Genomic DNA, 16,342 nt, shown 5'->3' on the forward strand with positions numbered 1-16,342 from the left:
GTAAAACGCTGTCAGGGCAAGACACTGAAAAGACAATTCAGCATGTTCTTCTAAGAAATGGAGATTGCCAACCCACAAAATCAGAACAAGCTGGTTGGAAACTGCTGTGCATGAAGGAAATAGGTTGGAAACTATGAGACACATAATTCAGGGATCTGAAGCTGTTGGATATAGAACCTATAGTTTGATTACCATAGGAGAAATAGCTCAAGGGATAGCAGGTCCTGGACACAAAATTCAGTGATTGACAGCGACAAAAAATAAAGCTCGGTGATTGACAGCCATAAGAGACATGGTTTTGGGGGTGGCAACTACTGAAAAAAAAGCCTTGAGATCTGTTATGCATTGAGGATTGGCAGGAACTTGAGAAATAAGGATTGATATAAAAACAGCTAGTTGAGTGGCAAGGTCTGGAGACACAGTAAGTAGTAGAAAGCAGCAAGAAATTTTACAAATTGCATGCACACAACTGGATGAATGGTAGCTGGAAGGTTTACCACATGTCTCTGGGGAGTTTTCTAGAAGTCAAATTCAGCGTTGGTTGGACAAGCACAGAGCATGGTCCCAGTTTACACAAGTAGGCCAGAGTGCAGTGGATGAGGTGACAAGAACATGGCAGTAACTCCCAAGACAACAGAAGTTGTAGTTTCCATAATAGCAGATGCTGGCTGACATGACAGAGTCTGAAGTAAGGCTTTCATTCAGATAAGTAACAAAGAATAGCTTATCTAAGTCTACATCAAACTAGACCAGGTTGCTTCTACACCTTGATAGCTATATACTCAGACTCTCTGCCTCCCCATATTTTAGATTAATTTGCATCATAATATCTCATGAACTTAGTGTTGTGTTGCCTATGAAGATAACTTTCTTCCCATTCATAAAATAATTTTGGTTTTAATCTTCTATATATCTACAGTTGTAATCTTTCTCCTGTTTATCAGGTTTCAGAATGTGTGTGATGTAATCACTTGTGTATTTTATCTGCTTTGCTTCTGCTTCCACTCCTAAATAATGCTTAATTAAAAGGAGTCCATTTGAATGGATGTTTATCCTATTCATTATCTACAAGGAACCCCACAGTTAGGAAGGCATAGTCCTCATCCTGGAAGAAGAGATACAATGTTGCAATGCTTAGAGGAGGTGTTGATGTCCTAAAATAGTTTCCATATATCAAAGTTTCTTGGATTTTCCAGACAAAATATCTCATGCTATTCGCTGTTTTTCATACTTAGCTGAGAATCTAATTATGTGATGTTGCTATCTGTATATTGTCTTGAGAGTCAATTTTATATAAGCATGTTAGGGTACATTTTAAAGAGCTCAGCTTTGACAACTTAATATTTTTCATACTTAAAAGTTGTGTTTGATTTCCAAACACTTGAGAAAAGACATATAATAGTTTTACATGGTAACATTGATGACATATGTGCTTTTATACTAGTGCAAATGTCTTACATGTACCTGTGGTCTTCAAATAAGAGGATAAACATGATATCAATAGTCATCAGCTTGTGTACTAGCTTTCCAGAATTAATGGATGTCTTCATCTGAAGCAATTTTTCAGGAGGACCAATTTGGTCTTCATGCAATGAGCTAAACAAGGATTATGCAAAACTATAATATCACATAAAAAAGATGTCCGAAGCCTGCTTACTTGAATACTATGGAAGGAACAACAATATTTTGGATTCTTCCCTAAAGATGCAAGTTAATGTTTACAGGCATCTATTTTCTGGAGTCTCTTGTCTTCCCAAACCAACACATTCCATTCTCAATCATCTTCTCACTTATCAGCAGTGACGGAGTTGTTCATGAGCAGAGGACACTAAAGATTCCAAGTAGCCACTTGGCATCTTAGAGTATCATTGATGATCCTTCTGTTGAATACTTTCCTATTGTACAATAGTCCTGTTGTTCCTGCATTGTTCATTGAAGATTCTGGAAGACTGATTATTATTTTAATTTTGCGGAAAAGATATTGAAATATCTTTTTAATTGGAAGCTTTTACGGAGCATTCAGAAAACTGCAGATATCTCATCACCCATGCAAACATGCACAAAGGAAGAAAAGAAAACAGAGAGAGACAGAGAAAACACACTTATGATATATTTTGACATTTATTTACATAAACATGACATTTGGTACAGATGTAGTATAAGGTTCTTCCTCTGAATTTCACATTTTTTGTTTCAGACAGTGAAAGGAAAAATGTTTGACATTTCACATGGGGAATTTTCACAGTCGATTGCTACATTCTTGTTAAAGAAAGCCTCAGATCACATCAATGTAAAAGAGGACTGTTAGGGATAAAAAGGAACAGAAGAGATTGGAATCATCAAGGATTGAGATAAGTTTGAGAATCTGTCTGACATTTTTCCATCTTCTCTGAGAACCTTAAGCACTCCAGATAAGTGAAATCTTTCAAATCCTTATATGCTTCCAAAGAAGAGTCCTCCAAAGTGAAATATTTTAGTTGAGGTGTGTGCACCTCCCCTAAATGCCTCATAATTTAGTTGAAGTTTATGTTCACTTCTTATATTCTTTGTAAAATTTGAAAACAAGTGGTAACCAACTAGTCTATAAAATATTTTCCTCAGCATATTGGCATGTTACATGAGCGTTCCAAAACCAAAATTAAGGTTTTTCTTTTTAAACCATAGTGAAAACAGATTTGATCTCAATAGAACGGCTATTGAAATATATCTGGTAACTGGAAAGTCATTAGGGCCACAGTTATCAAACTAAATATAATCCCATCATTTATCATCAGTAATTAAAATTTAAGTTAGATGTGGGGCATGTAAATGAGAGAAACCTGGTATCATCAAACAATGTATTGCATCTTGATGACAAATGCCAGAGAAGCCCTATACATATACCAACCTGATGCGTGTCCTGATTTATTATTTCTAATTCCATTTATAATTTCTTCAAATGCCTGTAGAGACTAATGGTTCTTTAAGTTTAAAACATCTCCATGTAGCTACCTGGTTTAATAGCCTGAGATCAAAAAAGCTACTGAGAAGTTATATATTTTGTTTGAAATGACTGGTGGAGGATATGATGAAATTAACATAAAGTAATAAAAATAGCATTTAAGAGTTCACATTTTCACCTTGGGAGGCTGAGGAGGGCCGATCACCTGAGGTCAGGAGTTTGAGACCAGCCTGACCAACATGGAGAAACCTCTTCTCTACTAAAAATATAAAATTAGCCGGGTGTGGTGGCACATGCCTGTAATCCCAGCTCCTCAGGAGGCTGAGGCAGGAGAATTGTTTGAACCCGGGAGATGGAGGTTGCGGTGAGCCGAGATTGCGCCATTGCACTCCAGCCAGGGCAACAAGAGCAAAATTCTGTCTCAAAAAAATAAAAAAAAAAGAGTTTACATTTTCATTCTCACATACTAATTAACATGCTAAATCTTATTTAGAGTTTATAAGTCTAATACATACTCCGTATTTTCATTGGAGTTCTTTGTGAAATACAGATTTTAATGACTCCTAATTGCCTATATAATAAAGTACACACTCCTGAACGAGGTTCAGAAAATCTTCAATATCTGGGATCAACATGTATTTTCAACTTCTCTTCGTGATCCTATTCCAAAACCCCCATATTTCCATTTCAATTTAATGTTCAAATTTCATAAAACCCTGCTTTTTAGTCACAGAAACTCTGCATAAGCTACACCCTTCTGGAATATCCTTCTCTATTGTGCCTCTGCAAATTACTTTACATTTTTAAAAGCAGGTTACAAATGGCTCTCAGAGACATTTTCTGCATCTCTTTACCCATATCCATGCATTATGCCTTAAACATTGCATTTTATTTTCTCCTGTCACTATAGAGGTTGGAAAAAACGTTCATATTGGCCTAATTTTCCTGGTTGTGTGTAAAGATAGGGGGAGGGATCACTTTGTCAATTCCTCACTCATCCTTTCTTAGAGATACTCCGACTTAATAGAGTATGGGTCCCAACATAATGATTTATAATTATTTTGTTCTTGTCAAACGTATATCATCTTGGCCCAGGACGAATACTGCTCATTCAAGAATTTAATAGCGCTATTCAGTACATCATCATATTTGAAACATCACACACTTTCAATGCATGCAATAGGCAAATAATACCAACCAAGAACCATATCAAGAAGAGGAGTGCTCCCACTTCTTTCCTTTCCTTCTTCCTTTTGTCTATAGAACTTTATTCAAAAACTAATTAATGCAATTACACAGGATATTGAACCTGTTTGCTTAGGTTCAATATCTATGAGATAAAGATATTTTATAGACTATCCCTCTAGTCTCTAAGACTTTGACCTCCTTGTGGCCACAGATATGTCTTATTCGTATCAATTTTACTAGTTGCCAGTTCCTTGAACAACGTAAACAGTCAATAAATGTTTTTGAATGTTAGATGAGTGAAATAAACTTTTTTTTACACTGAGATCAGATTTTTAAAAATCCAAGCCACTTATTTGACATTGTTCCTTTGATTTTCTTTTTTTTCTTTATTAGCCACTCGAATTTAATATCTAGAGTCAAATTTTTGATTCTGGTCCTAAAAATTTCGTCTCCTATATTTCCTTATCTTAGTAAGTTTAAATTAATCTACTCGATTTCTCAAGCCAGAAATCAGAGTATCAAACATGATTCTTTTATTTCTCTTATTTCCCACTTACAAACAATAAGCAAGTACTGTTTCTTTCTTCTAAGTATATCTCAAATGTATCTGCTTCTTTCCATATACGTGATCTCATCGTAAATCCTCCAAGCCTTCCTCATTCTCACAACTATACATCTTACTGATCTGCTTCACTCTATCCTTCTACTCTATTTCTCTTCTAAATTTCTTCCTCTCATTAAGTAAATTCAAGTTTCTGACCTATTTCATTTTCCTTTGTTCCAAAGAATTTCTTTTAACATTTCTTCCAAGGCAGTTCTCCTGGCAACAAATTCCCACAATTTCTATTTTTCTGAAGGATAAGTTCACTGGATACAGAATTGTAGGTTAGTTGTTTATTATTATTATTATTTATTTCCATAGGATTTTGGGGGACAGGTAGTATGTGGTTACATGAGTAAGTTCTTTAGTGGTGATTTGTGAGATTTTGGTACACCCATCACCCAAGCAGTATAAATTGAACCCAATTTGTAGTTTTTTATTAAAAAAAACTTTCAATATTCTGCTTCACTTTTTGCTTGCTTGTATGATGTCTGATGAGAAGTCTAATGTGATTCTCATTCTTGCTTTTCTATAGGAATGATGTTTTTCTTCCCTTTAGTCTCTTTCAAGAATTTCTCTTTGCTTTGCTTTTCTGTAGGTTGACCATGATACACCTAGCTGAAGGTATTTTGGTATTTATCTTGACTGGTGTTTTCTGAACTTCCTAGATCTATGTTTTTAAGTGCCTATTATTAATTTTTTGAAATTCTCAGTCATTATTGCCTCACATAGTTCCTCTGTTACTTTATTTTTTCTTCTGATATTCTCATTATGTATACATTACACATTTTTTTGTAATTATTTTACAAAGTTGACCTCCAAGCTTTTTAAATGCTGCACCAGAAACTGACACAGAAACTGGAAGTCCAGAATTTTTTTTTTCTTTTTTTTTGAGATGGAATCTCACTGTTACCCAGGCTGGAGTGCAGTGGTGCAATCTCGACTCACTACAACCTCCATCTCCCTGGTTCAAGCGATTCTCCTGCCTCAGCCTCCTAAGTAGCTGGGATTACAGGTGCCTACCACCACCCTCACCTCATTTTTGTATTTTTAGTAGAGATGGGGTTTCATTATGTTGGCCAGGCTAGTCTCGATCTCCTTACCTCAGGTATCTACCCACCTCGGCCTCACAAAGTGCTGGGATTACTACCACGCCCAGCCTACTATTCTATGTAGTAGAATTTTTTTTAAACATCTATTTTTTTAAACATCTCTGTAATTTACTTCATGTAGCTATAGAACTGAAAAAAATAATTGCTATGATCATTGATTTAGGTGCCCTAAACAGGGACAAAGTAGTCTGAACATTGTAGGGAGTGACTACACCTTCCCAAGACAGAGGCTCCAAAAAAATGGAAAGGCATTTCACAGTTGAAAATATGCCTCTTATATTTATATTATCTAATCACATTTTCCTATATTGGATTATATTTTATATTCATGAATGGAAGGAATCATTTCAAGTTGGACGTATGATAAAATTAGTCACATATTTCTTGTGTTTGTAGAACATTTTTACTGTTTCTATTAGCTGTGAACCATTCAATTATGTTGAATTTTAATCTTCAGTATTGTTACAATATGATGTTTTTTCTGCTTTTTTGGTCTCTTTGGAGACTAGCAACATAATCAAAATTCACTGGTATATCAAACTGTATCAGAGAAGTAACATTAGTATTCAGTTACGTATCATGAGAAAAATAATATTGTTTTGAATTCAAATTTGAACTCTCTCACTTACTAGTAATGAAATTTGGGCATGAGATTTAATCTCACTAAGGCTGTTTCTTCATCAGTGAGACAGAACTAATGTTAACAATCTAGCAAGTTGTAAGAAAAATTATGTTTAATATTTATAAAAAGCCTGGAACCAGATATGTGAAAAAATTATACATTTTTTCTTCCATTATTTTTTCTTCAGGGACTGGTGTAACAGCAGAACTGAAATATTTGAAAATCAAATAAATGATTGTAAAATAAGGCATATGTTCTAGAACAGGTGAATGTGGTTTTGAATCTCAACTGTGCCCTAAAACTTTATGTATGTATGTATATATGTGTATGTGTATGCGTGTGTATCTCTATTTATCTATATTTTAGTTTATTCTTGGTTTATTCTGAACCTGTCTTCTCGTTTGTAAAAACATAATAGTTTTGGTACAGGAGAGTGGTTATGAGGATTAATGTGGTCATATATAAGATGTGCCAGGCACATAGTAGTTATTCTCCATGTTCCCCATCCAATAGTAAACACTTCTGTCAGAACCGATCAAAATCAAGCCATGGTACCCATTTATGAGCATCAAGTTGATTTGACAAAACAAGTAACTGAGAAACTGGAATTTGAAAAATAGCAATTTTAGGAAAGACGGCTATAGTTCTGTAGTTAAAATGCACATTGGAAGTATTGGAACGGTGTGGTACAATAAAGCAAGAGCATCAGATGTTTGAATTCTGCAAAACAAAGTTATATTTTTCATAGTTGCATCAGAACTTTATATATAATGTGGTAGTAGATGTAGATGTTCTTTTTTTGTTTTTTCCCTCAATTCTGTCTCAAATTAGTCCCTGTTACAGAAAGCTTTAGATGTTCTACCAAGTCTATGCTCTCCTCTTCTTTCTGGACACATGATTGCATTTTATATGTAACAGCCTCTTTTGAGGTTAGGAAAGGCCAAGCTGCTGAGTTCTATGCTAAACTGCAATGGAGTGCAACCTCTGGGGCAATGCTGACAGTCACATCATAGTCAAGTCTCTGTCAACTAATCCCTGACTGCATGGAGGGCTTCTCTGTTGATTTTGTTCCTGCTTACTCTAAATTTACTATTACTCGAAGGATACTGATTTCAAATTCCATGTAGCCATATAGTGCTTGAACACTTTGACAGTCACTAAGTCATATTGCTCTATGTACTTTGATTTTTTTCATAGGTCCTTTAATAAATTATCTTCTCTACCTCTGGAAACATTCAATAGTCTCCATAATTAATTCAGAGTCTAAAAGTCATCCATATTACATAAAGTGATTGACATATCTTAAGGGAATAACTAGACAAAAAATAAGGTACATGTAAATGATAACATATGAAAAAGTATGATTTGTATGCCAAGATATGATTTATTAGAAATAAAATAGATGAAAATAGTTTTACCCAAATTGAAAAACATCAAGCTTTAAAATACTATACATAATGTGTGTGTGCATGTGTGTGTGTGTGTGTGTGTGTTTGTGTGTGTGTGTGTGCGTGTGTGTGTGTATGATAAGAAATCCGGAAGCAAAGAAAAGTTGTTAAGAATATTTGGTATAGAATTGGAAGAGATAACGTATCTCATGTAGAATAAGAAGCACTGATGAATGATCTATCAAAGCCAGTAAGCATGAGTTTTTGTTCCAGCTATTCATGATAATTTTCTTTCATAAGTATACTGCCAGTTGCTCAAGGAAAATAAATATGGCTGAAAGTTGCTCTATGTATAGCTTATGGGTCTCTAGCAGTCAGACTCGTAGCTAAGAGGTTGGCATCCATAGAACAGATTTCTTAGGGGTTGATGATCATAGGTCAGGTAGCTCAGTGGCTGACGGCCATAGGGAAGGGAGTTCAGTTGTTGACAGCTATCAGATTGGTAACTTGGAAGATGGCAGTTGAAAGGCTGTCTACAGGATTCTGAATAATAAGAACTGGAACTATGGGATGAGATAGGAAGACAGCTAGTTCCTTGATGGGATATGGACTCATCGGAAACAATCGAAGAGTAGACAGAAGGGCCGCAGGCACCACACCCTCACCACATGACTTGTGACAGTTGTCATGGCACGTGAGCTCCACAGCTCACCTTAGTTATGCAGAGAGCACTGGGTGAGGTGACAGGAACCTGGTGGGGATTCCAAAGGGAGTGAGAGCTGTAGTTTTCAAAGCAGAAATTGCCGTTAAGACATAGTGGAGACAGAAGATCAAGCCTTGATTAAATTGCAGAGAGCAGGTTGCTGAAGTGTAGTTGTTGTCTATGTGACCTATCGTTTCTATATACCCTGAATGCTGGGTGTTGGTTTCCTCTATAGCCAATATATAGGCTATAGAGGAAATCATTTGTATGACATCTTACTAGAATTTTACTTAATCGCCTACCAAGCAGTCCTCCCACCACCGTATAAAATATATATTATCAATATCACATCCTTCAAATAACTGTCATTCCAAAGTCAATCTGGTCTTCCTTGCTTAATCTTTCTTACAGTATAGGTAAACTGCTTCTTTAGAAATCATGTTCCTTTGTCAGTCTTGACAATTCCTTGAACTCACTGCTAAAAAGCCACAGATGGATCTCCATAATTGGAGAGAATTTCTTTATGGCCACTTTTTTTTTCCCACAGAACCAAACTATCTATATATTAACATTTAAAAGTATTAGTGAGATATTTTTAGAAGAGCTAAATAATGAAAATTCTTAATTTGGAAACTGAACCTTATTTTGCATTCTTCTGAGACATAACCTAGATCCAAAACCTAATTCATCTCTGGAAAATTTGACATCATTTTCAAGTGTGTCTTTCCAATGAAGAATGTTGGCCTCAAAAGCTTTGACAAGCTTTGCTAAGATCCACACCCAATGAGCATATAAGTCACTGTTCTATATTTTGTGAGCAAGAAACTGAAGGTGTTAGCACACATGTTTTGATAGGTGCTGTGTAAGAAAGAGGCCATCTTGCCTTGGATGCTTGCTAGGTAAATCTCAGCATGATATTGCAAATATGAAGAGAATGCTTATGTTTGTAACCTGTTTCTATATTACTATTTTCCAAGGAATATATTCCTGTACATAAAAGATTTTGAAATAATTCATGTTTTTCTAATTAGTTTGCTAAGAGAGGCCGTTTAATTTACAATGAAGTTTTTTTTCCAAAGGTACACTTTTTGGTTGATTATTTGGATTCAGAATGTATTTATACATGGAAAGGAAGTGAAAATTCCTAGACTAGTCTTCCCCAGAGAAACATATTTTTAGCCTAGTAACATAAATGAACTCTACAACTCAATTTTGACCACATTAGGATAAATGGATCTTACTACTTCCTTGAGGGGTTTCATTTGAAGGGACTACTTAGATTATGGCACCTCTGAAAATCTGCTTTTGGTAGTACACATTGCGGTGGGAAAATAGTAGATCTTATCTAGAACAGCATTCCTCCTCCTAGTTCTCAGTGTGAGAGTCATCTTTTTCAATGGTGAAGGAACAAGAGCTGACATTTATGGTTCAAGCAAATGTAGCCAGAACTCATGATTTGGAGTGCCAAATCTAGTTATAAAGCTCTCAACATAAATTTCCTATGTTTCATTTTTCTTGACTATAAAGTGAAATAAAATGGGCACATTAAACACCATTTCACCAGTATCTTTAATGATTTAATTTTTTAAATGTATATGAAAGGCTCTGAGCATTATCCACTTAGCATACCCTGGATGAAGCGGCTTATGCAAATTAGTCTGACTGAGACATGAGGCACAGCGTATTAGTCAGGGTTCTCTAGAGGGACAGAACTAATAGGATAGATGTATATATGAAAGGGAGTTTAGTAAGGAGAATTGACTCACAGGATTGCAAGGTGAAGTCCCACGATAGGCCGTCTGCAAGCTGAGGAGCAAAGAAGCCAAATAGTGGCTCAGTCCGAGTCCCAAAACCTCAAAAGTAGGGAAGCCGACAGTACAGCCTTCAGTCTGTAGCCAAAGGCCCGCGAGCTCCTGGCACACCACTGGTGTAAGTCCAAGAGTCTAAAAGCTGAAGAACTTGGAGTCTGATGTTCGAGAGCAGGAAGCATCCAGCGTGTGAGGAAGTTGAAGGCCGGGAGACTCAGCAAGTCTGCTCATTCCACCTTCTTCTGCCTGCTATTTCTAGCAGTGCTGGCAGCAAATTGGATGGTGCCCATCCAGATTGAGGGTGGGTCTGCCCCTCCTCGTCCATTGACTCAAATGTGAATCTCCTCTGGCAACACCCAGAAACACCCAGATACACCCAGAGGCAATAACTTTCATCCTTCAATCCAATCAAGTTGACATTTACTATTAGCCATCACACACAGCAATCATGGCCAACATAGAATTGACTGAGCTGGTTTTCTAGATTGCTGTCACATGCTGCCTTTTTCAACTCAGCTTGTGGAAAAGGGCAAACCTTCCCCCACAGAGGAGAGACATTTCTTAGTTGAGGGTACATGAGTAGCTGAACTTTCTTGCTCAAAGCCTTTAAATCTCTCATGGCTCATTTATGCAAATTCAGTAATTAGATAAAGTCTTTTCCCTATTTGAGACAACAGGAAACTTCCACACTAGTGTTGAGTATATATCAGTTCCTGTGTATGCATATTCAACAGTCATATTTATATGAATCCCAATGATATTGGTAGCACTATAAATACCTTTTATGATCTTTGGATAAATTGGAAATCAAGTAAGTCAGGTTGTAATTATTTTTGTTGAGTGTCTTATAACTAGCAACATACTTCACCATCCTTGCCTTGAAGAGTGGAACATTTATTTTTAAAGTTTGGCCAACTGACCATTAAATTTAAAAAATGGATACCAGAGGCAACATATCTTTCCTAATCCTGCAAAGAGATGTTCTCTAATGATTTAGGACCCTCAAACCAATTAAGTTCTCACATACCCACAAAAGTTCAAGTGTCTTCATGATTCACGAGGACTTATCCTTTATATTTATCAATAGCCAACAATTGAATTGTGCTATTGTGTGAGTGGATTGATTAGCCATGGTTAGATCCCCATCATCAGATACCCATGACATAACTAACTGGGCATTACTGTACATAAGGCCTGTTTTTCCTTTTTTTGATTCAGTTAGTATACAAGTCTATATTTAGTGAAGTATATAATGCTGATTTACCTCCAATATACTATATTTTCAAGTACATGTATGGACAAAAATGCCACAAGCGTCAAAAGAATGGAAATGTTACTATCTTTCCCCTGAGGCTATAAAAACATAAAAACAAACAAACAAACAAAAACAACCGAATTATTTGTAGCTCCAACTGCCTTCTAAACCTCGGTCTACTTACAAGGAGGTTGATTTGTTATTTTGGGAACATGGGTTGGTGCAGATGTCTAAGTTTGGAAGTAAGATTTAGAGAGTGCTGAACTTTTTTACATTCGAGAATGAGAAGATTTTGGAGCTCCCAGAATTAATCCGAATGTGAGATAACTGGAGACAAAAGAACACAGGGGCTGAAAGAGTTATGCTATATGCACTGTTATATGGCCCCACTATTTGAATAATCTTTAGAGTAACATTATTGATTCATTTCTTTTGGAAAATAGTAAAGGGCTATGTACAGCTTCTGGGTGGATGATGAGATAACTAACCAGAATAGAATCAGTTAACACTGGGCCATAATACCCAGGGAATTAGTAGAAATGGCAAGATGGCATAGGATTTCACAGATCATGGAAATGGTAGGGATCAGAGTCAATTATAGCCAAGGATGAAAGGAGGACACAATTCTGCCTCATTTTCTAGCCCTATCTGTATTTCATATCATGAAATTATAAAGCTAGGGGAGATCACAGTAAATCACTTGGTTTTCTCATTTTATTTAGAATTTGTTTCTCTTTATGTCATTAGGATAGTTTCTGTTTCTGCATTTTGAAATTTATTAATATTCTCTTCTGCAGTGTCTAACCTTCTGTTAAAGCCATTTATTGTATTTTCCACCTCACTCATTTTAGTTTTTATCTCTGTAATTGTGATTTGAGTCTTTGTTTATATCTTCCATTTCTCTAACATGAACAAAATTTTCTCTAGCTTCTTAAATATATAAATACAGTTATATTAATTGTTTGAATGTCCTTTCCTAACAATTCTATCATCTGCATAATTTCTGATTAGTTGTGGTTGATTTATTTTCTCCCTATTATAGGTCTTATTTCTCTGTTTATTTTCCCGCTTGTTAACTTTTGATTGAATGCCAGATATTATGATTTAACATTTTGTGTGTGTTGTATATTTTTGTATTCTTATAAAAACTCCTGTGATTTGTTCTGGAACACAGATAATTTACTCAGAAACAGCTTGATCCTTTTGAGTCTTGCTTGTAAGCATCATTAGGTAGAACTAAAGCAGCATTTAATATAGGATAATTTTAGCCCCAGGACTGAAAGAAAACCCTTCCTAGTTTTATACCAGTTTTCTACTCTGTCTGTTGAGAATATAAACTATTCTCAGCCATCTTTGGGCTCCAATTATCTCTCTTCTAATTCTTTTGGGTGTCCCTACACTAAGCTTCATGCAGTGTACTGATGGTTATGACTCAGTGAAGGCTTTGATGTATCCTCTGTAGATCCCTGCAACCCTCTTTCTATTCAGTTCTCACAACTGTCTTTCATGGAATACCGTGATTTATTTGCCTATTATCCAAAGTCCTGAAAACCCATGTTTTAGATATTTATCTAGTTACAGTATTACTTCAGATGGAAGAATAATCTTGTCTCTGCAACTCCATCTTGTCTGGAAGCAAGTCCAAATCATCTCGTTTGAATCTCTGTTTTCGTACAGATAAATATCCAATAAATAAAGAAAATCAATTTACCATAGTTTTTGAAAATAATTAAATACAGACTGCGTATTTTGTAGAGTCATAGAGATAGTTTTTCTTACTCTAAAGATCTTGTTTGTGTTCAACAATCAACATTCCTATTTTATGTTAATCCACTGTCTTCACTTATGGTTGTTTTGAGTATGAAGATCAGTTTCTTAGGATAGCTTTCAAGCAAAAGAAATAAGTTATGCTTCACTTTAGGCCAACAAGCCCCACTTCTTTATTCTCATATATATATAAAAGTTCTCAAGAAATTTCTTTGTTTTTTTTAATTGTCGTTATTGTTGTTGTTTTAGAAAAATAGGGAGCAATGTTCTACCAAGAGACTCTCAAAGGATGACTCTGGAAAGGAAAGTAATATCTCAGCTATCAAATATTTAATTCCCTACTAACGCAATCAAAAATGATATTGTCATTGCATAATTCTTCATATATATTGCATGGTCAGCTATGTCTTGGATGTAGCTTTTTCTCTTCTTTTTCATAAATATTTTTATTCAATGATATGTCAAACATGATATCATAATAATTACCAAAGTGGATAAAGCATTATGAAATATAAGTTTACTATGAAGAATATTTTGATGAGTCTTTAAGCAACACCTTCCTAAGGCCAAAGGCTCAATGAATCTGCAAGGGTTTGTGATGTCTAAAACATTATCTCCTCACACGGAATATATACACATATATATATTCCTCACAAGAAATATACAGGATGAAACTAGAGATCTTCTTCTAGAAAAAAGGAGTGTTCAACAACAAAATGAAACAAAAGTATGAGGTTTGTTAAAAAGACACAAGAGCCAACTAATGTAGCTCTTAATGGTCAAAGCTGGAAAAATTTGAGCAAAAAAACCACAGGTAATATTAGATTATAACCTAATGTATTGTATTTATGCATTTATACTGATATAAATAAATAATTGTATAAACAGAAAGTAGAAGAGAATAAGCGAATATTCGAATGCAGAAGGACTCCAAGTAATATACACAGATACTCCTTAAGGAGGTAAAGAATGATTCCCACTTAATATGAACTGCACACAGTGGATTTCTTCCAAAAAATACAGTATGAAAAGGGGGGGAAAATGAGTAACTTCACAGCGGAATCTTGATGAACACTACTGCAGCAAAGTGATCGAGGTTAACACCAATAGTGATTAGTCATGTTGATGGCATATGCTCTTGATGTGGAATTTTACCTCGCTGGTCTTTCTCCTGCAAACCTAGAATTCTATTCTAATCCTGAGAAAGATATCGGCCAAATCTACATTGGGAACAATCTGTAAAATTCCTGACTGACACTCTTTAAAAATGTCAAGGGCATCAAACACAAGGAATATCTGAGGAACTATCACAGACAAAAATAGCCTAAAGAGACATGACAATTAAACGTAATGTACTATCTCAAGTGGGATCCTAGAACATAAAAAAGACATTAGTTAAAAACTAAAGAAGTGTGAATGAAGTATGGACGTTAGTTCATAATAATAAATCAACATTGGTTCATTAATTGTGACAAATATGAATACCAATGCATGCTGTCATTAATAGGAGAAACCAGGTGCAGGATATATGGAACTAGGTATTATCTTCATGACTTTTCTGCAAATATAAAACAGCTTAAAATAAAGAATTTATTTATAATGCAAACAATAGGTTAAATTCTTTACTAATGAAAAATCAAAGAGATTTGTTTATTTTACATCTTCATCAGCTTATTCCAAAGCTACTGAGGCTTAACTTTTGTCAAATAAGCTAACATTTAATTATAATTCACATTTTGGTACCATTCAGGTACTATTTATAATGCACTTTCTCATATTTCACCTCATTTAATTTTTGTGACAAGTGTCTGAGTCAGGAAGGCAGGTTTGTTTTACTGATGAGAAGATAAATTTAAAATTTTACTCAATTTATCCACGTCACAGAATTATTAACAAGCACAGCTGAGATTATAAGTCAGCTCTTGTGATAGCTTACCTAGCATTTTTTTTTTTTTTTTTTTGAGATGAAGTCTGGCTCTGTCGTCCAGGCTGGAGTGCGGTGGCGCGATCTCAGCTCACTGCAACCTCTGCCTCCCGGGTTCACGCCATTCTCCTGCCTCAGCCTCCCAAGTAGCTGGGACTACAGGCGCCCACCACTACGCCCGGCTAATTTTTTTGTATTTTTAGTAGAGACGGGGTTTCACCATGTTAGCCAGGATGGTCTCGATCTCCTGACTTCGTGATCCGCCCGCCTCGGCCTCCCAAAGTGCTGGGATTACAGGTGTGAGCCACCGCTCTCAGCCCTTACCTAGCATTTCTTTGTATCCCCCTTAAGAAAAACCATGCCATTGTTAAAAAGGAAAATATCTTTTCCTTTGACTATAGTCATAGAGCAAAAAGCATATTACTATGCTGTTTTTTGAATGCTATATAGCACTATTGTAGCCTATAAAACAATGATGATAATATACTTTCCTAAGTGACTTCCTCATGTATAACTTTACTCTCCCTCTGGTAATAAGAACTGGGCAATTGATTGTACCTTTTTTTCTTCTACTTTATTTCTCAGGAAATGAAGTAAAGACAATGGGCTTCATGGTGAGAAACTTTGTTATTACGGTCCTGACATATCACCAGGCAGTATTCAAGGGAAGAAGAATTTAACATTTGTGACAGTTCAGTAGCTCTATTTCTGATGAATGAACAACAGCTGTAAATAGGCCTTTGGTAGGTGTTTTCAAAGTCTTTATGAGTTTTGGAGGCTATTTACTTAAAAAGCACACAATTTTCTAATTGTAACAGGTTATAGAAAACTAATACTTTACCAGAAAATCTAAATAGGCCTATTGTGACATCACTATATACTAAATCACGTGACTAATTTACCAGTAAGAGTAAATAAAGCACTGAGGAAAATTTAACCCCCTGCACACATTGTATACTTCTCTATACATTGCATTTGTATTTTACCTCCTAGAATTCATACATTTTTTAGTAACTGGTACAATACATTAATT

At 35.4% G+C, this 16,342-nt stretch overlaps 1 protein-coding gene across 1 annotated transcript; it reads right to left on the bottom strand.

Moving 5' to 3' along the window:
• Nucleotides 1-370, bottom strand: KRTAP25-1 (keratin associated protein 25-1). Its single transcript, NM_001128598.1, has one exon. The coding sequence runs from the start codon at nucleotides 344-346 to the stop codon at nucleotides 38-40; it is 309 nt and encodes a 102-aa protein (NP_001122070.1). The 5' UTR covers nucleotides 347-370; the 3' UTR covers nucleotides 1-37.
• Nucleotides 371-16,342: the final 15,972 nt, after the last annotated feature.

The sequence above is a fragment of the Homo sapiens genome, chromosome 21 (assembly GCF_000001405.40).
Source record: "Homo sapiens chromosome 21, GRCh38.p14 Primary Assembly".
Lineage (NCBI taxonomy): Eukaryota > Metazoa > Chordata > Mammalia > Primates > Hominidae > Homo > Homo sapiens.

What these genes read in the sequence shown, in the direction of transcription:
- KRTAP25-1 (NM_001128598.1), bottom strand. Translation starts at nt 346, where the DNA reads ATGCATAACAGATCTCAAGGCTTTTTTTTCAGTAGTTGCCACCCCCAA.